This window comes from Homo sapiens, chromosome 11 (genome assembly GCF_000001405.40).
Source record: "Homo sapiens chromosome 11, GRCh38.p14 Primary Assembly".
NCBI classification, from domain to species: Eukaryota; Metazoa; Chordata; class Mammalia; order Primates; family Hominidae; genus Homo; species Homo sapiens.
The window spans coordinates 68704438-68727644 of NC_000011.10; the positions used below are offsets into that span (position 1 = coordinate 68704438).

A 23207-nucleotide genomic window follows, 5' to 3' on the forward strand; every position below is an offset into this window, starting at 1 on the left:
AGGAGTTTGAGGCTGCAGTGAGCTATGATCGCACCACAGCACTACAGCATAGGCAACAGAGTGAGACTCTGCCTCTATTAAAATATATATATTTCTAGGGAATCATCATTAAAAAGGTTGTCACTGCAGACTCTGTCTTCATAATTCGGTAATAATGTTTCTATAGTCCATCTATTTCCAACAAACATATGAAATGGTTTACAGTAAAAGATGTATGTAATAGTACAAATAAAAAGCATGTTTAAAAAAGTAAAGCTTTATGGAAAAAAGAGAGGGACAGTTAATCCTAAACCTGGGCTAATGTGATTTCTGGTATTGAATAGATTTACTTTTGAATTTCCTGAAAGTCAAGGCAAAATTTAAAATATCAAACATTAAAGTTTTTATTAAAGTTTGTTGTTGAAAAACAAACCAGCTACCATTTTTAGGAGGCTCAAACTTTTTCCTGATAGTCATTTTTAAATATATGAAGAGAACATCCATGCAATGACAGTCTTCAATTCCAGTTTTATCGGTGGCTGGGGCCGGGCAGTGCTCCCTGTGGCTCTCCAGTCTCTGCCGGGGGCCGGGGGTTGGGAGCAGGATGGAGGCAGGGCTGGGGGAAGATGCCTCACGGTGATCCCTCCTGTCGTGCTTCCTCCCTCCTCTGAGGCTAAGGACTCCTGGGGAGAGAGTGCAGCACGGAGACCGCACAGCCGGCCCCATGCACAAAGCTGTGCCCGGTGCCTTCCTAAAGAGCGCGCCGCCTGCAGAACGGGAGGCCTCCTCCCTGCTTCGTCTTCTGCGCCCCCTCCTGCTCTCTGGATCCTCTGGCTGCTCTGATCATTTTATCTTGGATGAGGGTTCAACCTTTGAATTCCCTAAGACAGTATTTTAACTGACTCCTTACGATAACTTGTTTATTATGGTTTGAAACCGCGCCCACACTGAAAGGGGACCAGTGCTGGCAGAACTTCAGGTACTGGTGAGAGGTTTGTAAAGGGATAGGAGCATCCAAGCCGAGATGAAAAATACACCAAGCCTTCTGCTGACCTTCCGCCGCCAACAGCACCTTCTCTCCTAAGGATGCTCCCTGGCCGCCAGACTTTCTGTGCAGTGCGCAGCCTGTGTTCACTGACAGGAAAGAGCGATTTCAGCGCGTGTCATTCTAAACAATGATTTCTTCTCCGTGTCTATGAAAAAACAAGGTTTTTTTTTCTTTCGGATAAACAAAACAAAAACCCAAAACCAACAGATAATCTAACCTTAATCACAAAGGTGGTCCGAGTTATTTAGTAGGTACAGAGTAGAAAGATATGGTTAAGGCTGGGCGCGGTGGCTCACGCCTGTAATCCCAGCTCTTTGGGAGGCCCAGGGGGGCGGATCACCTGAGATCAGGAGTTCAAGACCAGCCTGGCCAACATGGTGAAACCCCACCTCTACTAAAAATACAAAAATTAGCCGGGCGTGGTGGTGCGCGCCTGTAATCTCAGCTACTCAGGAGGCTGAGGCAGGAGAATCACTTGAACCCAGAAGGCGGAGGTTGCAGTGAGCCGAGATCGCGCCATTGCACTTCAGCCTGGGCAACAGAGTGAGACTCCGTCTCAAAAAAAAAAAAAAAAAAAAAAAGATATGGTTAAATTTGCACAGCTACACTCTCAAATAAGAACATGATATGTTAATTTGTATATCGTTTTAAAATAGCACTGGCTCTCCGCCAAACACATAAGAGATGGGATTTTCTAGCTTTGTAGTCATCTTCTGTACTGTCTCTGGTCAGCATAGTGGCTTTATGCACGTCTGTATCTCGGCTTTCACTTCTCAGACGGGATTCCCTGCAAGTGGCACCTACTCAGTGAATTCTTCTCTGCCGGAAGACCCTGCAGGGCTCGTGCCTGCCCAGGTTGGCTCTTCCCTCACCTCCAGGCGTTAGCTCAGTACACCTGGCCACAGTCAGAGCATCCTTGGCCAGCGCAGGCTCCTGTGCAAAGTGGGGGGCCTGTATCCCCAGCCCCACACTGAGTTCCCTGCTCACACTTCCTCTGGGCTCCGCGGGTGGGCCACACCTGGTTCAGGATCTCCCTAGGCAGCCGTTGCCTCAGGAGAATGCTGGAGGACATTGTTCCCTTTTCCTCCCTCCACTCGGTGCCCCAGGGCTGTGCTGAGGCGCCCGAACCCTTAAGGTGTGGCTGGTGCCAACTGAGACCTGCTGTGAGTACAAGACACCCTGCATTTCAAATATTGGGTACACATAAAGGAATGTGAAATCTCAATCATTTTCATTCTGATTACACATTGAAACGATAGTATTTTGGATACATTGGGATAAATAAAAGATTATTAAAACTAATTTTACCTGCTCCTTTTCAAAGTTTTACATGTAGCTACTAGAAACTTTAACAGTACTCATGTGGCTGGCAGATCTTGCTGTTGGCAGTGTTGCCGAGAGGGACAGCAGGATGGAGGCAGCCCCCCCAGAGGCAGCTCCCAAAGTCCCCATTTCCAGGTCACCTTCCAGCTCCCAAGGGTGAAGGAGGCCAGGTGGCTCCCCCAGCAGTGCGCCTCCCTGTTCGCCGCGATGCTGACAGGACTGAAAGCACACACAGCAAGTGGGGTGTACGGCTGGCTGAGGGTTCCACGTCTCACAATGCATGTCTTTACCTCTGGTTTTCTGCCACAGACTCTGGATCCCAGGGGTCCAAAGGGAATTGCAAAGGGGAAGAATTCAGTCTTCCTTTTCTCCTCTGTGGCTTCCTGTGGCTGTGTTTGCAACTAGACTGTTCCAGACAGCTCCACAAAAGACAGCTTCCTCCCTGGTTGCTTGCTCACTTATGTGCCCAGTGCCTGGGCCCGGCAGCCACACTTCTGTCTCTGCTGCATTTGTACTTGAGTTTCCTGAACACCCTCTAAGTGGCCAACACTAGTAATGAATGCAGAAACATGAAAGAATATTCTCTCAATACATTTCAGGGTGGGTACTCATCAGATGAACACATTTTCAGTTACTAAGTTAATGACAACAATTGAAGACATTGGAAATTTTTATTCATCTTTGCTTTACAACAGAACCAAAAGCGTCAACTTAAGAATTCATTTTACCTGCTGGTTTCCACAAGCTAGTTATGTGAACCATGTTTTACAAACAATAATAATATTACAACAATAATTATGGAGAAGTTAATTGGATAATAGAGCTTTTCCACAATTCAAGTAGAAACACAGAAGAAACTGGATAATTTTAAGTCCTCTAACTCAAGACATGCTGGTGCAAGCCTGGCCTGCGAGGCCCCATTGCCTGCGTCTCCCGGGGGCCTTAGGAAAGACTGACAGTTCGCGTGCCTCTGGGGAAATATCTACGCTACAGAAAATCTTTAGGTGTTCAGTAGTTCTCTAGAGATTTTAAGTGGTATCACAACAGCCCATCCGGAGAACTTATTTCTAAATAATTTGAAAAACAAACAAGAAACCATTAGGGTTTTCATGCAGAGCAGCCTCCAGAGCAACATTCTCTGAGAGGAAGAGTCGACCAGAGTGAGCTCTCCGCAGGGCCTGCTCTGCCCTCCCCTGCCCCGCTCTGCCCTTCGCAGGGCCTGCTGTGCCCTCCCCTGCCCTGCTCTGCCCTCCGCCGCCCTGCAGACACTCTCCCAGGACTATGGGAACCCAAGCTCTCTCCTCTGGGCCAGACAAACAATGCTCAGGCCATGCACCTCCTCAGAAAAGGGGGCATGGGTTGCCACATCTTCAGAGAGCTCTGAGTAAACTCCCTGGGCCCAGGGATGCAGGGGAGCCTGGTTGTTGCTGCAGAGCCAGCCTCATGTTCCCCTAAACATCCTTTCTAAACTAGAGATTTCTAGACTAAGACAAAATCAACATGCATTCACACTTTATACTCTACTCCATTTTCAATCCCTTAGATTTAAACTCAGTGTGGAGAATCTGTGATAAGCACCTTCCAAATTCCTCCAGGATCATCTGCTCTGCCAGGCACTTGGAGCAGTGTTCTTTCTCGGCCTCTTCTCCCTGAGCAAGCAGGCAGGCGCATGTGGCCTCCACCACCTCCCAGGAGATGCATGAGGAAGGCCGCCTGTCAGAAACAGAGCAGTTAAAGGCCGCTCAACAGTGCACCATTTCTACCTACAGTACTATTTATATTCAACAGAACATTGCTTGTCCATGCTATTTTAAAGAACATCATCCACTAAAATCTAACGTTGTCTTCCTCATACTGGAAACTATTAGGCTGGGCACAGTGGTCTGTAATCCCAGCACCTTGGGAGGCCAAGGCAGGAGGATGGTCTGAAGCCAGGAGTTTGAGACCAGCCTGGGCAACAAAGTGAGACCCTTTTTTTTTTTTTGATACTGAGTCCTGCTCTGTTGCCAGGCTGGAGTGCAATGGCACGATCTCGGCTCACTGCAACCTCCAACTCCCTGGTTCAAGTGATTCTCCTGCCTCAGCCTCCTGAGTAGCTGGGATCACAGGCATGCACCACCACACCTGGCTAATTTTTGTATTTTTAGTAGAGACAGGGTTTTGCCATGTTGGCCAGGATGGTCTCGATCTCCTGACCTCATGATCTGCCCTCCTCGGCCTCTCAAAGTGTTAGGATTACAGGCGTGAGCCACCACACCCGGCGGAGACCCTGTCTTAAAAAAAAAAAAAAAGAAAGAAAAGAAAAGAAAGAAAGGATTAACTGGTTTTAGAAGAATAACACAGAGGACAAGTAAATCTGTCCGTTTTTGACATGCCTCTCATGGCGGGTTTGAAATTTCCTCAAAATTAGATTCACTGACGAACCCAGAGGATCCCGGGCTACAGTGTCAAGCACGTGGGCCAGGCAGGAAATTGCAGAAGCAGGACTCTTGGCTGAGGCAGGGCACGGGGACAAGCCGAGCAGCTTTGCTCTGAGTCCTGTCCACGCTGGGTGTCTGCCTGTCCTCCCCGCAGGCCCACGTGCAGCCAGAGAAGGCCAAGGTTCTGAGGACTCGCCTGTCAAACCTTGGGGTCCTGCTGTCAGGACAGCCTTCCCCATCAATGCCGCTTGGAGCTGTGAAAGAGGTTCTGGAAGACAAGTTGAACCGCATCACATAGCGCCAGCTATTCTCCCCACTGAGCTCAGGGGGCAACTGTGGCTTAGCTAGATAGCAACCCAGGTGGCGCTAAGTCGAAAAATTTTCAGGAAAGCTTTATAAAACATTAAAAAGTGTTGGATTATAAAAATAAAGCAAAATGTTGGATTAAAGTCTCTCTATAAAGACAATACACGATGACTTTGGTTGAAGAAGAAAAGATAGGGCTGCCCTTGGGAAAAGAAGGGCTGCTAACACTGCAAGACGAGGCTCCAATGTACAGGCCCCCACCGGACTCCACAGAACACACATCCTGCTGCAGGCGATGACATTTTCACACATCACTTCACAGACAATGCAGCCAGGTTTTGGTAAATTTTTACTGATAAAGACCTCTGTGGGTCAGCTGGGTGCGGTGGCTTACGCCTGTAATCTCAGCAGTTTGGGACTCAGAGGTGGATGAATCACAGTTCAGGAGTTCGAGACCAATATGGCGAGACCCCATCTCTACAAAAAGTAGAAAAATCAGCCGGATGTGGTGGTGCGTGCCTGTAGTCCCAGCTACTCAGGAGGCTGAGGTGGGAGGATCACCTGAACCTGGGGAGGTTGAGGCTGCGTGAGCTGTGATCGCACCACTGCACTCCAGCCTGAGCAACTGAGTGAAAGCCCTGGTCTCAAAAAAAAGACCCCTGTAGGTCACAATCATGAGTATTTCTGATATCTCTCTAACCAAATAAGCATGAATTTGGCTTTGCAAAATATTAATTAATGACATCTGGTAGTTTATCATGATATGACCATTACATTGAACTCGAAGTTTTTTTTAAACAAATGAATGGAATCTAATAGATAGTAAAACTATGACTCAACTTTGAGAACTACTAGGATTACAATGTGGCTTCAAAACTGATAAATGCAAAATTATCCAACTAATCCGGATCCACAACTGCTTAGTAAGGAAAACAATCTGGACCAAGTACAGCTCTTTGCTGCCACTTCCCACGATAAAGGATAGGGAGGTACGCACTGTCTTTGCTGCGCTGGGTCGTTGTGGCTCTATATTAACGCAAAGGCAGTGTCAGAACTCTGCTAGCCCTGCTGGTGATCCTGGCAGCAGGGCTCTTTTGTCTGGTACAAAACGGGAGTAACTCAGACAGTGAGGATGAGAAGACAAAGAGGACAAAACAGGTTTCTGCAGCGGGGCCTCTAAGGAAACACAGTGGCCACCCAGGATTAGCCCATGGAGGGAGGAACGACTTCCCTCTGCCCCCAAACACACGCCCGCCCCTGCAGGCTCACACATTCTTTCCAGTGTATAAATTGTCGTTAATTCTCCTCTCAAATTAACCTCTGTTCCCTCTATTAGCAGAGGTTAGTTCAAAGTACCTACCTATCGTGACTGAATCTTGGAAGTCCTGAAAATTTCGTTGGTGGCAGGTAATGGCTGCCTTCCAAACCTCCAGTCTGCATGTAGTTTGGCATGCTCATTAGTGTCTTTCGTTCTGGGCTTTCTTCATAATTTTTGCAACCAATGCATTTGCAAATAGAAGAACACATAATTTGGGCCTGGTAATATAAAATGCTTCAATAAAATTAGGTTGTCTCACAAGTCATCAAAAACTGACAAATTCTATTTGGACCTTAAATAATTCTTCGCGTATATTTGCCCATGACAGAGAGTGTGTGTGTGTCTGTGTGTGTTGAGTGTGAATGTGTGGGTGAGAGCGTGTGTTGAACGTGAGTGTGTGTATGAGTGTGTGTGGGGTGTGTGTGTGTTGAGTGTGAATGTGTAAGAGTGTGTGTGTGTTGAGCGTGTATATGAGTGTGTGTGGGGTGTGTGTGTGTCGAGTGTGCGTGTGTGTGCATGAGTGTATGTGGGGTTTGGGTATGTGTGTGTATATGTGTGAGTGAATGTGAATGTGTGTGTGACTGTGTGTGTTTGAATGTGTGCGTTTGAGAGTGTGTGTGTGTGTGTGACCTGCAGTTTTCATCAAGTGCTGCTGTTGTGGAGATGCCATAGTCCTGCTGCTGACAGAGTGGAGGCCGAGTGTATGGGTGTGAGTCCCAAGCAGAGAGAGGGTGTTGCTCTCCCTTCTCTACCCGGGAGCCAGCAGGCTGCTTCTTTGACTTGTTTTGAAGAAAGCCTGCCTTAGCTGATTATAAAACTCTAGCTTATGGTTCTCTTTCAGCATGTGAGGCTATTATGCTGGTTCTATGGGTGCAGAGAATGTACAAGAGAGTAGAATTCGAAATCTGCCTGAGAGCAGGCCTGTGGCTGGGAGCTGTCAGGGGAGACCTCTCCTGCTGCCTTGTGGGTGGATTTTGTTTCAAGCTTTTCCTGGCAATGTGATGCTGAGGGGGCCGGCATGTCCCATCTGTACCCAGCAAGCCCCCTCTTGCCCCCTCATGCCAAATTCTTGCTCATGTGGGCCCCAGGGGCTGACCAAGAGCTGGCACTGCCAATCACTATGGTTTTTGGCTTTCTCTTTCCTTCAGCCCCCCGGGGATTTCCCTCTGTTCTTTCCAGCTGAGAGATGCATCTTCAGGGGGATGCGTTCTGTTTCATCTGCACCTCTGGGTGTTTTGAAGCAGGAGGCTTTATAGAGTTTCTAGTCTACACGAATGCCAGAGACTAAAGGGCAGTGCTATCCCTTTCCTCTGAGCCTGCACATTCTGTGGGCTGTGCCCAGCATAGGCTCTGCCTTGGGGAAGTGGGCTGAGCCACAGTTCCATGGCAGCCAGTGAAGGTGTTTTGCAGGACAGAGGAGCTGCTGTGGGTGCGATTGGAAGTGGTTCCTCGGGGGTGATGTCAGTCCCATTTCAACTGTGCATCTCTGTCGTGTTTTGACTGTGTTTTCCACATCCGAGCTGGGGAGTGTGGGGTCCACCTTCCCAGGTCTTTCAGTGCATGTCTCCAGAATCAGGTGGACTGTTCTCAAGCCCAACCCTCTGTGACAGACAGCCTTTGAAAAGTATAATTCACAGGAACCCCCAAAAGACCTCAAGCAAACCAAAACAGAGGTTTGTAAGGAAGGTTTGCTCGGCTGTTCCCCTGATAGGGCCTAAGGGTTCCCTCACTTTCTCTTTCCTCCTTTCCCTCAACACAAAGGAAAAGAGAAATAGCAAAGAGAGGTGAAACTGCGACAGCACTGAAGGGGAAAGTGGGTCCTCATTAATCTTTGGGAAAAGAAAAAGCTTTTGTCCAGGCCGTGATCTGCAGCTTGCTTTGTTAGCCTCTCTCCATTGGCTTAGGCTGGCTGTCCATTCTGGTCTCTGATGGGGCTGTGAGCCAGGGAGGAGCTACCCTTGGTCAAAGCACCAGGTGAATGGATGTCTGGGGACAAGCGCCACAGGGACTTGGAACTGACTGAGACTTTGAGGCCAAACTGTCCCCCACGGCCCCACCTAGAGCACCTGGGCTTTGCTCAGGGAGGAAGAGGCGCGGCTGCCCTCCGGGAGCTTCCACCCTGTTGGAGGACCAGCGTGGATCAGTGGCCACAGAGGGACAAAGCCACGCAGAGGGCACCCTCACTGGGTACTCAGGGCTGGGCTCAGGGGAAGCAACATGCTCCAAAAGGAGCCCTCAGCAAATTGACCCGGTTCACAAAGCTCAGCTGTATTTGGGAAATTAATTCAGATTGATGTAAGTGTCCTTCTAGAAACTCTGGAAGAAAAAAATAATTATATTTATCTTTTTAAATTACAGCAAAGTTTTTTTAACCACAAAAGTTACTCAACATATTTACCTGTGTTTTTTGTTAGTGAGTTAGGGAGCTGGGCACTAACCTCATAGCACTCGCAGTAATTCTTCAGGCAGCCTGACCTCCTGCAGTTGCACCCTTTGTTGTGCTGGGGCTTGACATTGCCCAATTGGCCCTTCCCAATTTTTGGCTGGAAAGCTTCTGGATTTCTACCAAGACATGCCTAGGGTAGAATGGGAAGCTCCATCAGGATGGATTTTATCATTTAAAACTCAGCTCAATGAAGGGCATCTCATTTGAATCTGATTGTTGTAAAAGATGCCACAATAAACAGAGTCTCTTGACATGGTTCAGAAGGTGCAGCCCCTTCTTGTTTGATTTCCATTTGTTTCCATACACAAAAAGATATATTGTAGCTAAGGTTTCTTCATGTTTTGTTTTCTGAGTTTCCAAGTCTTACATATTTACTGTAAAAAAATAATAGATGGTAAAGATGCAAAGAAAATCATTATTTCCGTGTGGACACATTTCCATCCAGCATTTCTGGGGCCCTCTTTCCTAAGATGGTTGAGACCGTGGACCATACTAGCAGCTCACACTGCCTGATCACAACTCAACACACCATGTGCCAGGCTTCTTTCCATGGGATTTATATATACATGCCCTCTCATTTAATCCTCAGCAACTAACGTATGATTGTTTTATACCCGGAGAAACCCAGGCACCGAGAGGTTAAATAACTGCTGGTAAGTGGCGAGATCCTGATTCAAAGTCCCTGTGCTGACTTCAAAGCAGGTCTCAACCGCTGGGCCATGCCTTTCCCAAGCAATACACACGATATGTTATCCAGGTCTATTTGTTGTCCCTTTTTAATCTATCTATACACACAAATACATACATATCTTTACATACAAAACAATTCAACGCTCTTTGTAAAAATTCAAATACAGAGGTCACAGTGGAAGTCTGTGGCCTCCGTTCCGCTTCCTGGGGTTGACATTTGGAATCGGTGCTGTCCAGCAGCACGGCCCCTAGCACAGGGCCATCGCTACAGAATGTGCTGCTGGACAGCCCCAGCCTGCGGTGCGCGGCTTTAGGCATTTTCACGGATCACTGAAGTGTGACAGGCAGTGGAGGCACACATCTGCAGCTGTGGCATGATGATCTTGTGCATGTGTGCACACCTGTGTACCTGTGCACACCTGTGTACCTGCTACCAAGGTCAAGTTAGAGGACAGGCGGCCCCACAGGTTGCCTTGTGACTCCTCCTCAGCGGTGCACCCCCGCGGGGAATGCTCTTCAGACATAGAGGGCTTTAGGTTTGCCTATGCTGGTGCCTCAGGTAAGTGGAATCCCACAGCTTGTACTCCCGTGTCGGCTGCCTCCCTCAGATAACAACTAGGAGGTCCGTCCGCACTGCTGCGCTTAGCTGTAGCTCCTGCTTTTCATCAATGCATCAATTCATCCATTCTACCACGGATGGACATTTGGGCTGTTTCCAGTGCCTGGCTACTCTGAATGAAGCTGCTGTGAACATTCCCGTACAAATCTCCCAGTGGACATTGGCGCTTGCTTCTATTGGCTATATTTGTAGGAAGGAAATGGCTGGATCATAGCATACACAAAGGTTTAGTTTTGGTAGCTATTGTCAAACAGTTTCCCGAAGTGGTTGTGCCCCTTTATATGCCTATCAGCAATGTATGAAAATTCCAACCCTTTTTGTTTTTACAGTTTTAACTGTAGATAGTATTCTTTATCCCTAAATAAAATGTACTAAAGTTTACATGCGTGACAATTTTCTTCTGTCCTATGGCTCTGGCTATATCAAAATTGGTTAGATATTTCAAGTCATTTATCCATAATTCAAGAGGAGAATTAAATTATTTTAGAAAACAATGCAGAGAGCAGCCACACCCTTATAATTGTGTTCTATTTGCACAGGACATTCTCAGGTCTACAGTCAATGGCTCTCAATTTCCCTTCGTGAATGAGTGGGCACCGGAAGTGTCTCCCTGGAGTAGGTTGACAGCCTTGAGCCTAACTGTCCCTCCTTTATCCCTGATTATCTTTTGTGCCTAAAGAAAGGGATAAAAGCTGCAAGCTCCTGTGTTTAGCCTTCAGCAGAGTGGCCATCGGGGGCATCAAAGTAACCTTTTGCGTCTCTGGGAAAACCTAGATTCTTCTCTTTTTCTGGAAGCTGAGGGGTGAAATTTAAATTGTTAAATTTTACAATTGAAAATGTAGGCTGCCTGATCACTTTCCCCTAGCCTTCTCACGCAGTGGACTGTCTACACCTTTGCGGCTACACTGCTCCAGCTCATGCTTATCTGCTATGTAAGATGACCCCAAATGTCTAAACTCCAAGATAAAGTGGACATTCGCATGTTCTTGAATCAGAACCTTCCTAGACTGCTGCATCTCTGAAGCCTTCCCACATAATAAAAGGGAAAAGGCCTTTCTCTGCCTACCACTTTTACAACAGCCGCTTGTCGTGGTTCAATACCCCCACCGGCAGGAATCAAGTTGTATTCAATGTAAATTCTTCAAAACTGTGGGTTTTTTCCAATGAGGAATCTCTGAAGGTGATTTTATGAACATCTCAAACAGTTTGAAATGCTTTTAAAATGCATACATTTAATGGACATTTATTACCTTAATGGCTTTAAACCGTTCAATATCATGATGCAAGTTGTTGCAACAATTATTACAATTGCAGTTGTTGCAAAAGTCCCCACTGGCAAAGCAGTCACAGTACCTGTGAAGGAAAGGACAGAGTGAGTGGCAGGCACAGACGGCACAGTGAGTAGTGAAAAGAAGAGCACACACGTGTAAGGAAAGAGCGGGCAGTGTGCTGCAGTCAGAACACTGAACACTTTCATAGACGGCTCAGACTCCTTTTATATGAGAACTAGATCAACTAGGATAATGCTCACCAGTGACTAACACAGAAGGGAGTAAAACTAGTTAAAACCATTTGTTTCATAATATAGGATTTTGCAAAGCAAAACAATTTCCTGTCAAATCCATTGCATCAATCAATCCTCCCTGGCCCCTAATTGCCCTCCGCCATTTTCCCAGGAGCGCAATAAGTTTGGTGGGCAGAAACATCAAGTAATGAAGAGCTGTCCCCATCAACTTCCCCAGTCCATCCAACATGACTGAAGGTGTGTTCACTTCTTCACCAGACCTTGACTTTGAGTGAAAACTAATGGGACCCAGAGGTGGAACCTGGCCTAGGCCTTAACTCGCTTTCATTCTGTGAGGGGGAAGTGAATGGCAGAGGAAAGGAATGGATGAGGCGGCTGCAGTCACACCTCTTGGTTGTAATGCGAGGGTTGTTCGAGAATCCTGAGTCTAGTGAGGCCCTTGGAGTGGACACCACCATGCCCTGTGACTCCTGGGGCCACACAGGTGGGTGGCAGTGCTGTGGATTGGCTCTGAGGGCTTCCTGGGAGAGCCGCCAGTGCTGGCAGCCAGTCTCCCTCCCAAGGTCTTGTAAGACGCCTGCTCCTGCATTGTAAGGCAGAGAGGTGTTTACAGGCACGCGCTTTACCCTTACTGGGATGGGCAAGGGCGACGCTCTCCTTAACTCATGTGAAAATGTAGCATCAAGGCAAGGACTCCTACTGTGCCACCTATGACCCGCGCCCCAGAGAGCCACCCCATGGCTTCCACCTGTGACCAGAGAAGACCCCTGTCACTGTCTTCTGTGAGCATGGTTCATCGAAAAGAGCTTCCAACTCGTTTTCCACATCGGCTCTGCCGCCTTCTCCCCATGTGCCAGTCAGCTTTGCAAGCTGTAGAGTGGGAATCGTGGTGCTCAGCCTCCCAGTCCCAAAGCGCTGCTGAGGGAAACCCTGGGCGTGTGAAGCTTCCCATAGTGCTGCAGGAACACGGCGAGGGCCGTGCAGGAGACCAGAGGTCTGCAGAAACCTCTCTGGGGCAGAATTCCCAAACACAATTCTTTTCATAATTATTATTTTCATATTTTAAAATAATATTTTAATGTCAAGTCAACAGGAAAGTAAAGAGGATCATTAGAGGCCAAAAAGACAAGAAATTGTGAACCCAGAGAGGCGAGTTCTGCAGCAGCTAAGTGCTGCCCTGGGGCATCTGCCAGTCCCTAGGGACCCGGAGCTTGGGTTCCAATGTGCAGCAGACAGGAGACAAAGTCTGGGCATCAGACCAGAGACCCCTCATAAAGTGTGGATCCCTGAAAGGCGAGCTCCCCAAGGAGTGAATTATTAGAGACAACTCCACTCCACAACAGGGGAGAGGAGAGACACATCCCCTGCAGGGAGAAAGGGGAACTATAGAGGTCTCTCCTGAACCTGCAAGCCACGCAGATGGAAAGAAGGGAAAGGGGACAGTGACAGAAGATTTGGACACCAGATAGCAGAGGGGCGAGAGAACTGGCGTGGCAGACTCAAGAATGCTGAACCTGAAGTCAGCAGGAAAGAGCTGGGAAGGAGCTTCGGAAGGCTCTGGAATGGGCAGCACCAGGTTCCTCCAAGGGAGAGCAAAGCCAGGTGAGATAAGAAGAGAACCAGGGGGATTCTCTGCAGGAAGGCATGAGTCCCCAGATGACTCCTCCTTCCTAAGCAGCTGGGACCCCCCTGCCACCGTGGCAGAGACTAAAAGTGACTCTCTTGGAGCAAAACCATTGGGCGTGGGATATGATAATGAACAAATCCAAGAAAAGTGATTGTTGAGACCCCTAGGTTTCTTCTACTCAGCTTCTAGCATTCTAGCAGGAGACTAGAAAAGCCTCCTCTGAGGACTCTGACCAGCCCAGGAGAAAATATCTAGAATTTGACATTGAGCTTTCCCAATAAAATAGCTAAGTGACCACCCTGTGGTGAAGCTACAGTGACCAAGCCCTCAGCAGTGCACCTGCAGGCCCAGTCAGCCCACACCTCAGCTACAGCCCCCAGACAGCCCACTCCTCAGCTACAGCCCCCCGGTCAGCCCACCCCTCACCTGCAGCCCCCAGTCAGCCCACACCTCATTCTTAAGTATGAGCAGAGTGACGCCCAGGGATCCACAGACATGTTAGGAAATCTTCCAGAGTATGAAAGACAGGGGCCCAGAGAAACGGACCATGCATGGAAAAGAAAACTAGGAGGAAAGTGGTATCAACAGCCTTAGAGAGACTAAGAAAAGTTATTGATCGATGAAACAGGAAAATAATTCTTATTAAAAATCTCAGGATATGAAAAAAGATATTTTAGGAAGCAAAAAAGTAATCACAGTGATGAAAGACCTAGAAGGTATGAAAACTAGAACTAATCAGAGGAGAAAGCAACAGTGGGCCAGACTAGAAAATCCAACATTTATATAGTAAGAATTTCAGAAATACTGAATATTAAGAATGAAGGGGATACAATAATTCCAGAACATTTCCCAGAACTAAAGGCCATGAGTTTCTGAAGGGAAAGGACCTGCCTTGGGCTCTGCACAGTAGCTAGGAAAGAGACTGGAACCAAGACAGCATGAGCACATTCTGCAGCACTGGGAATAAGAGATGATCCTCTATGGTTCTAGAAAGTATAAAACAGTTTTCATACAGAGGATCAAGAAAAACAATGATGTTAAAATTCCACTAGCAACATTGGAAGCTAGAAGAAATGCAGTAAGGCCTTCAAAAGTCCAAAGAAAAACCATTTCCAACCTGAAGTTATACTCCCAATCTAAATTATCATCTAAGCATGAGGATAGACTAAGACATTTTTAGACACGTAAGGTCTGAAGAAATTACATCCCATGTACTCTTCCTCATGGAAGCTACTGGAGAAGGCACTGCACCAAAATGAGGCTGTGAATCCCACAAGGAAGATGCGGGCTCCAGGAGTCAGGAGCCCAAACATGACAAAGAAGCTGGTGAACCCCTTAGCATGATAGTAGAGGGGGGTCCAAGACGAGAGCTGCACACAGGCCTGGAAACCAGCCCCTCCATGGCAGGCCAGGCCAGGCAGCTCAGGAAAAGCCTTCACGACAGGACTGACAGTGCCCCCACTTCTGGGCATGTTGAGAAGACCGTTACACAACCAGAGGAGAGGTTAGTGTTATGTTAGTGTTGTGTGCATAGAAGACTAAGTACTGGGTATGAACAGAAAGGGAAAGGTAAAGAAGTTCAGGAAAGGATAATTCATGAAGGCTCAGCAGGGACCAGAGTTTTCATCGTCATAAAAATGTAAAGACTCAATGCTAATCTAACCAAGTCTATCTCATGTCTGGGTGTGGGAAATGTGTGTGTTGGTAGGGGTTGGTGTGTGAGTGGGAGAGGAAATAAAGCTAAATCCACATTTCCCACAGTACAAAAACAATAGATCACACCAAACTGAAAAGCCGAGGAGTAATTCAGACCTGTTATTTAGACTTATGGAAGCAAATATTAGAAGATTCAGTTAAAAGAGTTGAAAGTTCCTGGGGGTCAGAAAATAAGGAACAATTGTCAGGGTACTACTATGTTTTGTCATGAGCCTGGTACAATTATGTGGCTCTCTAAATTATATGTGTATGTGATTTGGATAAAAATAATAAACTGAGAGTAAGACAGAATAAAAGATAAAGAAATTAGTCTAGATGCAGCACAGAAGACAGATTGCAAATATACAAGAGAGGTTAAGAGAAACAGTCAAGAGTTAGAGAGGCTAACGTGTCTGTCTGGTGAGCATTACGGAAGGAGAGAGGAGAGAAAATGGGGGAGAGGCATCTTTGGAGTGAGGATATCTGTGAGTTTTCCGGAACTGATGATAACTGTGGATGCTCAGATTTAGGAAACCTAATGAACTCTAAGAAAGACAAACAAAAAGAAAAACCAAAGACAAAAAGAAAATCTCAAATGCACTAGAGTAGAAAGATACATTACCTAGACTTGCATCTGACTGCTTGTTAGAAATAATGGGAAACAGCAGACTGTTTTCAAAGCATTGGCAGAAAAAACCTGACAACCTAGAATTGCATACCCAGTAAAAGTATGTTTACTCACCGAGGTCCAGGCTAGGCACACTTCTTTTTTTCACCGTACACTCTTTTGCTGACTGATTTTATTAACTCTTGCCCTTTTAATCTTTTGAAGATTTTAAAATCTGTTTTCACCAAACCTGCTCTCTCTCCCACACTCCAGACCCTAAAATCCTTATTGTTTTATTTCCCAAACATAATGAAAGGGTGGGCTGTCCACATGTGCTCTTATCATTCCTCATCTCCCATTCATTCTTTAACCTTTGCGTTCAGATTTCCTCCTCCTGCCCACAGACTCTCAAAGGCAATCAACCAGCTCCTGGAAAACCCAGGGCTCTCTTCACTGTTCTTGAGAGCTTTAGACCCTACTGTGTTCCAGAACCACATCCCAGCTTCCAGTCAGAAATCTCTATCTTCAATTCAGCGTGTCCACCCCTTCACCCACGGTCTTCATCTGCACCCCTCGTGCTGCTCCAGCCACTCTCTCCTCCTGTGCTTGCTCTCCATCCATGGTGTTACCATCTGCCCAGTAACACAGCCCCTGTGTTGGTTCTGACAATTACCTTGCTCTGTTTCCCCACATCCAAGGGTTGCCAAATCTACTGATTCTGGCTCAGAAATGTCTTTTATTAATTTTATTTTTGATAAATGTAAATCATATTTATTGTGGAATTTTTAAAAATACAAATAAGTAAAAAGAAACAAATTACATCCAATCTGAATCTCATTCCCTAGAGATGATCATTTGATGAATATATTTCAGACTTTTTCTGTAAAACTATACATACTGAAATAAGTATATGTTGTTTGGTTACAGATTATATGTAAACAAAAATAAGATCATATTCTACAAACTGCTTCAGTGTGCTTTTATTACTTATCAATAGAAGTAATAAAGATAACATCTTTCTTTTATTACTCATCAGTATGTTATGAATGTTTCCCATGTAAATAGATTTACATACCATTTTAATTGCTGTACATACCCCATACTATAGCAGCACCTTGATTTATTTAATAATTCACTTTATACTGAGCATGTAGATGTTTTATATATCTTGGAAATATAAACAATACTATAGTAGTGGTGTTGGTCTTCTTTCTGTTCCTAGAACCATCCACCCTCCCTCTCTTGCCACAGGGCCTTTGCACCTGCTGTTTCCTCTGCCTACAACACTCTTAGCATCCACCTTCAATCTACTTCCACCCAATGAACTCCCCCTAATCCAAACACACCTCCTCAGGGAAGCCTTCCCCGACTGCCATGCTTGCTCAACACGTCCCACCCCCTCAGCCCATTACTGCTCCTTTGCCACATTTTCCATGGTTCCACTCCGACCTTTAATTACATGATGATTCATATGGGAATAGTCACTTTAGACTGTGAGTGCTGGGAGGGCAGGGACCGTAACTCTCTTGCTCACTCTGTCTTCCCTGTTCCTGAGATCATGGGCATTCAAAAATATTTATGGAATGAATGAATAAATGAGTGAAAAAATGATACAATGCATATGTTGGAAAAGTCTCTGGAATCTGTGTTTTTTCCTTCATTGTCACCACCCCTGCCCGGGTTCAGGTCTGTGCTGCTGCAGTGGCCTCCTAATTAACCTCGCTTTCAACTTCCTCCACTTTGCCATTAGCACTAATTTTCCAAAACATAAATCAGGCAAAAATAAGCAAGCGAAAAAGCAGTAATCAGAAAATGCAAAATAAGATGGTATTGTATATTCCTAGTGGGGGTATAAAATGGTATGGCCACTATGGAAAGATACGGCAGTTCCTCAGAAAGTTACTATATGATCCAGCAATTCCACTTCTGGGTATGTACGCAAAAGGAGTGAAAGCAGGGACTCAACCAGATACCTGCTACATCAGTGTCCATTGCAGCATCAGGGTAAACAAAACGTGATTCATCCATACAATGGAATATTATGCAGTCATAAGAAGAGAGGACATTCTGACACATGCTACAACATGGATGGCACTTTAGAAACACTATGCTAAGTGAACTAAGCCAGATACAAAGGGACAGATATTGTATGAGTCCATTTATGTGAAGGACTTAGAATAGTCAAAAGAAAGAAAGTAAAATAGGGGTTACCAGAGATTGGGGAAAGGGGATGATGGAGAGTTTGATGGGTATAGAATTTCTGTTTGGGATGATGAAAAAGTTCTGGAAAAATTCAGTGATGGTGGTTGCGCAACACTGTGAATATATTTCATGCCACTGAATTGTATATTTTAAAAGTTTAAAACAGTAAATTTTATGTTATGCATATTTTGCCACTATCTTAAAAGACAAGGCACAGAGCAGAATGTATGGAATGCTGCCATCTGAATGGGAAAAAGGAACCTAAATAAAACTTAAAACTTCAAAAAAAAAAAGTTGTTACAAATAAGTCCCTATGTGTCAATAATCAGACAAAGAATGCAAATAGATTAAAGAAAGCTATTGAACATGGGTTATTAGATTTGCTTTTTTGAAAAATTCAGCTATATTTAACCTACAGAAGACACACCTAAAACAAAACTGCCACACAGAAAGTGCAAAACTAAAGGAATGTTATAAAGCATAACTCACTAATACTGCACTAGAGAAAGAAAACATGGTGCAGCAACATTACCGTCGGACAGAAAAACAACTGAAGGCAAAATGCGCCAAGATACAGAGGCATAGTCATTAACAACTGATGGAATAATTCACCAAAAAGATGTAGCAATCATGAATTTGTATGACCTTCATGCTATAGATCTGAAATATATAAAGCAAAATAGAATTATAAGGAAAAAGGAGACGAATTCATAATCTTAAGTGAGGGATCTCAACACATTTTTAGCAAAAACATAAAAATCACACAAAATTGAATAAGCAATTAGCAGATTTAAACAACAAAATAAGCCAGTGAATGGATAGATAACTGCCCCTAACAAATAGAGAATATACATGTTTTTCAAATTAATATAGAATATTTTCAAAATTGATTGTATTAAGTCTTCATTAAAGGAAGTCTTCATTAATTTCAAAGAATTGACGTACAGACTACATTATCTAACTACAGAGTAATTAAATGAAAAGAATTAACTAAAATATCATTTAAAAATATATACATATACATACACATATATGTATATATAATACAAATGTGGACACTATGAAATGTACATCTAAATAACTCATGAGGTAAAGAGAACATTACAATAAAAACGACAAGCTATTTCAAGCGGATGATAGTGAAAGTACTGCATATCAACTCTTGTAGGATGCAGTAAAGTAGTCCATAGGGGTAATTTACAGCTTTAAGTGCATTTCCTAAAAAAAAAAAAAAAAAAAATTTAAAGACTGAAAATAATAAGGTAAGCAGTTAACACAAAAAGCTAGCAAAACAAGAGAAGGAAATAATAAAGACAGCAGTAAAAAGCAGAAATTAATGTACTTCATGAACCACAACCAAGAAAATCAATAAAACCAAAAGCTGGTGCTCTGAGAAGGCTGACAAAATAGACAACCTCTCCTAGAACTGATCGAGAAAGTCTAGAAAAGGTCAAAGGCCATAATTATAGATACAGAGGTCATCTTTAAATATAGAATATATGAATACGAATATATGAATAAATTTGAAAGTTTTGAGGATTCAATACTTTTTAAGAAAAATATAAAATATCAAAATTGACTCAAGAAAAAACATAAAAAAGAAAACAAACTACAAAAGAAAGTGAATGAGTAACCTATCACCTTCACCACTCCAACTCCAATAGACATCAGACCCAGACAGTTTTTCAGACAAGTTTTTTCAAACGTTCAATGAACAAATAAATCCTACCTTACCCAAACTTTTTTAGAGGCTAGAGAAAAAGAAGCCAGTGGGGTGGGGATGGGGAAGCCTAACTAACGCATTTTATTAGGCAATACAATATTGATACCAAAATGAAAGAATATATGAGAAAGAAAAATTACAGGTCTATCTCACTTGTGAACAAAGATTCAAAAATCCTAAAGAGCGAAATCTTACAGTACATAATAATCAAATTGGGCTTAATCCCTGGAATGCAAAGGCAGATTAACATTGGAAAGTTTGTTGTCATAGATATATTATGAGATTAAAAGAGGAAAACAATCTGATCATTTCAACAAATACATAAAAAGGCACTCAATAAAATTCACCAGTCCTTTATTATAATTCCGATAATTATAATAATAGCAAATCCCTTAGGAAACTAGGAATAGAAGGAAGCATCCTTAACCTGAGAAGGGCACGTAGCAGAGAAGCCAGTCAGTCCTGCAACAGCCACTTCCCCTTATCCTACAGTGGCAGCAATTGTAGTGGAGCATATGGTTGGCTCACCTCAAGAGTGCATTTCCCAGCTTCCTATTTAGTTGGCCCGACCACATGACTAGGCTGTGGCCAAAGGGCTATCAGTGGAAGTGATTATGACAATGCCGGTCTTGCCATGAAAGGTTAAGGAGTGTGCACTTGCCCTCCTGTTTTCTCTTCCCCAGTGTCTGGAAGATGAACATAAGGGTAGGGGCTGGTGCAGCCTTCTTAGACCACAAAATGCAAGCCCTCCATTGAAGATGTCAGGGCAACTAAGACAGAAATCTGAGACAATAACATTGATTAGCCACCATATTAGTCCTGAAATGGTTGTAGTTTTGAGTCTTTGTTATAGCATCTGAGTATGTATTCTACCTAATAAGGGCATCTCTCAAAAACCTACAGCAACTATCTTATTTAGGGCAAGGCAAGGGAATTTTAGAAATATTTAGAATTTAGGAGGAATTCAACAGTGCCCCAGACCAGAACTTCCATTCATCACTATGAGGTTCTAGCCAGTATAATAAGGCAAGGAAAAGGGAAAAGAGTACAAAGATGGGGAAGGTATCACGGTCCAATATCTGTGATAAGATCATTGTTTAAATAGAAAGTTGAAGGAAATCCACAGACAAATCATTACAAATAAGAAGCAGAATTCATGTCTGGAGCGGGATTGAGAACCCCAAATCAGACCCATGTGTAATCAAACCCTGAGAGCTGACGGGGCTGCACTGCAGATATCGTGGACTATATCTGTGTTTTGCCATACATGGTGCTAGACAATTAATTGTCCGTATGGAAAAAAATAAAATTGAATCCCTACCTAATGCCAATCACGAAAATCAATTCCAGGTGATTTAAAGCTCAATGACAAAAGCAGAAATGTAAAACTTTTAGTAGAAATTCTAACATCACATTTATCCCACCTTGATCTAGGTTGCAGTGAGCATCATTCCATTAAAGACGCTGTCCTGGAGGTGCAGACTGCCTCAATGCTGGCACACTGGCAACACTGCAACACTTTTTGGGTCATCCTGCCCTGTGGCTTGCTGAGAGGGTGATGATACTGTTCAAGGAAATACTCATGATACCCTCTGTCAGATTCACTTCCCACAGGCATATTGAATCATGAAATTTTAGTCTTGGTGGTTGAAAAGACCTAAAATGACAGTTTTTTGTTGTTGTTGTTGTTGGAAACGGGTTCTCACTATGTTGTCCAGGCTGGTCTCGAACTCCTCGGTTCAAACAATCCTCCTGCTTCAGCCTCCCAAAGTGCTGGGACTACAGGTGTGAGCTACCATGCCCAGCTCAATGACATATATTCTAAACTCATTCTTAATTCATTGGCCATCCTGACATATTGCTTGCTATAAAACACTTAATAACATTGAATTAAATATTTAAAACCTTTTAGATGGCTACTTGAGCTGGTAAAAAATTAAGGAAACCCAACAGAGGGCAAAATTCAGAGGGCCAAGCTAAAACTGAAGCCTGAAGTGACCTCTGAAGCATCTGCTGATCCCAGCAACCAAAGGCGCTGGTTTTAACTGCTGCGTGGAGGAGAAAGGGGGAACTATGGCAACCCTAACTGTGGCAAACACTTACAAGGACATGTGTGATCTGCTGGGCTGTGCTCTAGGTGCTTTACGTATATTAACCCCAGTCGAAGGCACACTCAGGGTAGAAGGTCTGCTGCAGGATCCACACATGGACCAGAACTGCGGAGGGCTCTATCTACTCTGGGAACAAATGCCCTGAAAACAAATGGCAAGGAAATGTGTGTGTGATCCTGGCTGGTGGGAGGGGAGGAGGCTCACTTCAGGTTGAAATCTGAATTCATACTGTGCAGCCTAATAAAAAAAAAATTAGCCAAAAATTGTTAGTCATCCAAGTTGGAAGTGCCACCAAGCTCCAAGTGGAAGCAAACAAACCTTCTCTGAAGAGCACATTCTCAAAACAAGCCTCAAAGAACTCCCACAGGGAAAGCCCCAGTGATTATAATTCGCAGTTTAAAAAAATCACAAAATATGTGAGGTTCCAAGCCATAAGGAGAAAAATTCAAGAGATGAAACAAACACAGAATGAGACAGAGACTTTACTATAGTTATGAGCTACAGAGAAGATAATTATTTCATATTTTTAAATTTAAAATAAGAAATCAAAAGTGTGAGTAAGCAACAAGAGACTACCAAAAAAAATGACCATCCAGATTTCACCTTCTACTCCACAGAATTCTGGTGGCAATAATTAATCTAGTTAATTAGAGACAAAAGGCCACGTGAAGAAACAATATCACAGACTGTACAATCTATGCCTGAAATTTTAGGGTTTGGGCTGGGTGCAGTGGCTTACACCTGTAATCCCAGCACTTTGGGATGCTGAGGTGGGAGGATTCCTTGAGCTCAGGAGTTTGAGACCAGCCTGGGCAACATAATGAGACCCTATTTCTAAAAAAAATAAAAATAAAAAAGCTGGCTTGTGATAGCAGGAGGTTGAGGCAGGAGGATTGCTGGACCCCAGGAGGTCAAGGCTGCATTGAGCTATGATCATACCACCTTTGCATATCAATTCATCCAGCCTGGGTGACAGAGTGAGATCCTGTCTCAAAAAAAAAAAAAATAATGAAATGAAACTGAGTCTGGATTTTCTTAAAGTCAATCAATATATGAAAGGGCTAATTAAAACTGTCCTAAAAGGCTGAGTGCAGTGGCTCATGTCTGTAATCCCAGCACTTTGGGAGGCCAAGGTGGGCGGATCTCTTGAGGCCAGGAGTTCAAGACCAGCCTTGCCAACATGGCGAAAACCCATCCTACTAAAAATACAAAAATTAGCTGGGCATGGTGATGCATGCCTGTAATCCCAGCTACTCAGGGGGCTGAGGCACGAGAATTGCTTGAACCTGGGAGGTGAAGGCTGCAGTGAGCCAAGATCACACCACTGTACTCCAGCCTGGGCAACAGAGCCAGACTTTGTGTCAAAAACAAAAACAAAACAAAAAAACAAAAAAACTGTCCTAAAAAATATCTACACTCATGGTATAAAACCAATTCCTGCTTTTCTGAGAGGAAGAGACCTCTCTCCATCCTAGTGGACAGTGCTCCTTCTCACTCTATGAAATAATTGTCCAAAAATGTATAATTTAACACTTATAGGCAAACCTCATTTTATTGCACTTTGTTCT

The 23207-nt window shown here is 44.3% G+C and overlaps 1 protein-coding gene across 5 annotated transcripts in view, besides 2 other annotated features; it reads right to left on the minus strand.

The window, feature by feature from the left end:
- Nucleotides 1–358: 358 nt before the first annotated feature.
- TESMIN (testis expressed metallothionein like protein) overlaps nucleotides 359–23207 on the minus strand; it is a 46725-nt gene continuing 23876 nt past the window's right edge. For 2 of the 5 annotated variants that reach the window (XM_017018588.2, XM_011545402.2), the window contains 5 exons: nucleotides 11400–11502; nucleotides 8833–8970; nucleotides 6437–6612; nucleotides 3929–4063; nucleotides 359–2899 (listed from right to left, as the gene is read on the minus strand). In XM_017018588.2, the coding sequence (XP_016874077.1) occupies nucleotides 2809–2899; nucleotides 3929–4063; nucleotides 6437–6612; nucleotides 8833–8970; nucleotides 11400–11502 (643 nt within the window). In that variant the 3' untranslated portion in view covers nucleotides 359–2808. Of the gene's footprint in view, nucleotides 2900–3002; nucleotides 4064–6436; nucleotides 6613–8832; nucleotides 8971–11399; nucleotides 11503–13785; nucleotides 19024–23207 lie in introns of those variants that run through there. The other 3 variants (XM_047427921.1, NM_004923.3, XM_047427924.1) reach the window with 3 other exon arrangements.
- Nucleotides 2282–3040: an enhancer, noted in NCBI's record as "H3K27ac-H3K4me1 hESC enhancer chr11:68474187-68474945 (GRCh37/hg19 assembly coordinates)". NCBI's record gives its function as "activates a minimal SCP1, AML or CMV promoter by ChIP-STARR-seq in naive and primed H9 embryonic stem cells {active_cell/tissue: H9 hESC(naive and primed)}" and the evidence as "EXISTENCE:reporter gene assay evidence [ECO:0000049][PMID:30033119]".
- Nucleotides 7853–8353: an enhancer, noted in NCBI's record as "H3K27ac hESC enhancer chr11:68479758-68480258 (GRCh37/hg19 assembly coordinates)". NCBI's record gives its function as "activates a minimal SCP1, AML or CMV promoter by ChIP-STARR-seq in naive H9 embryonic stem cells {active_cell/tissue: H9 hESC(naive)}" and the evidence as "EXISTENCE:reporter gene assay evidence [ECO:0000049][PMID:30033119]".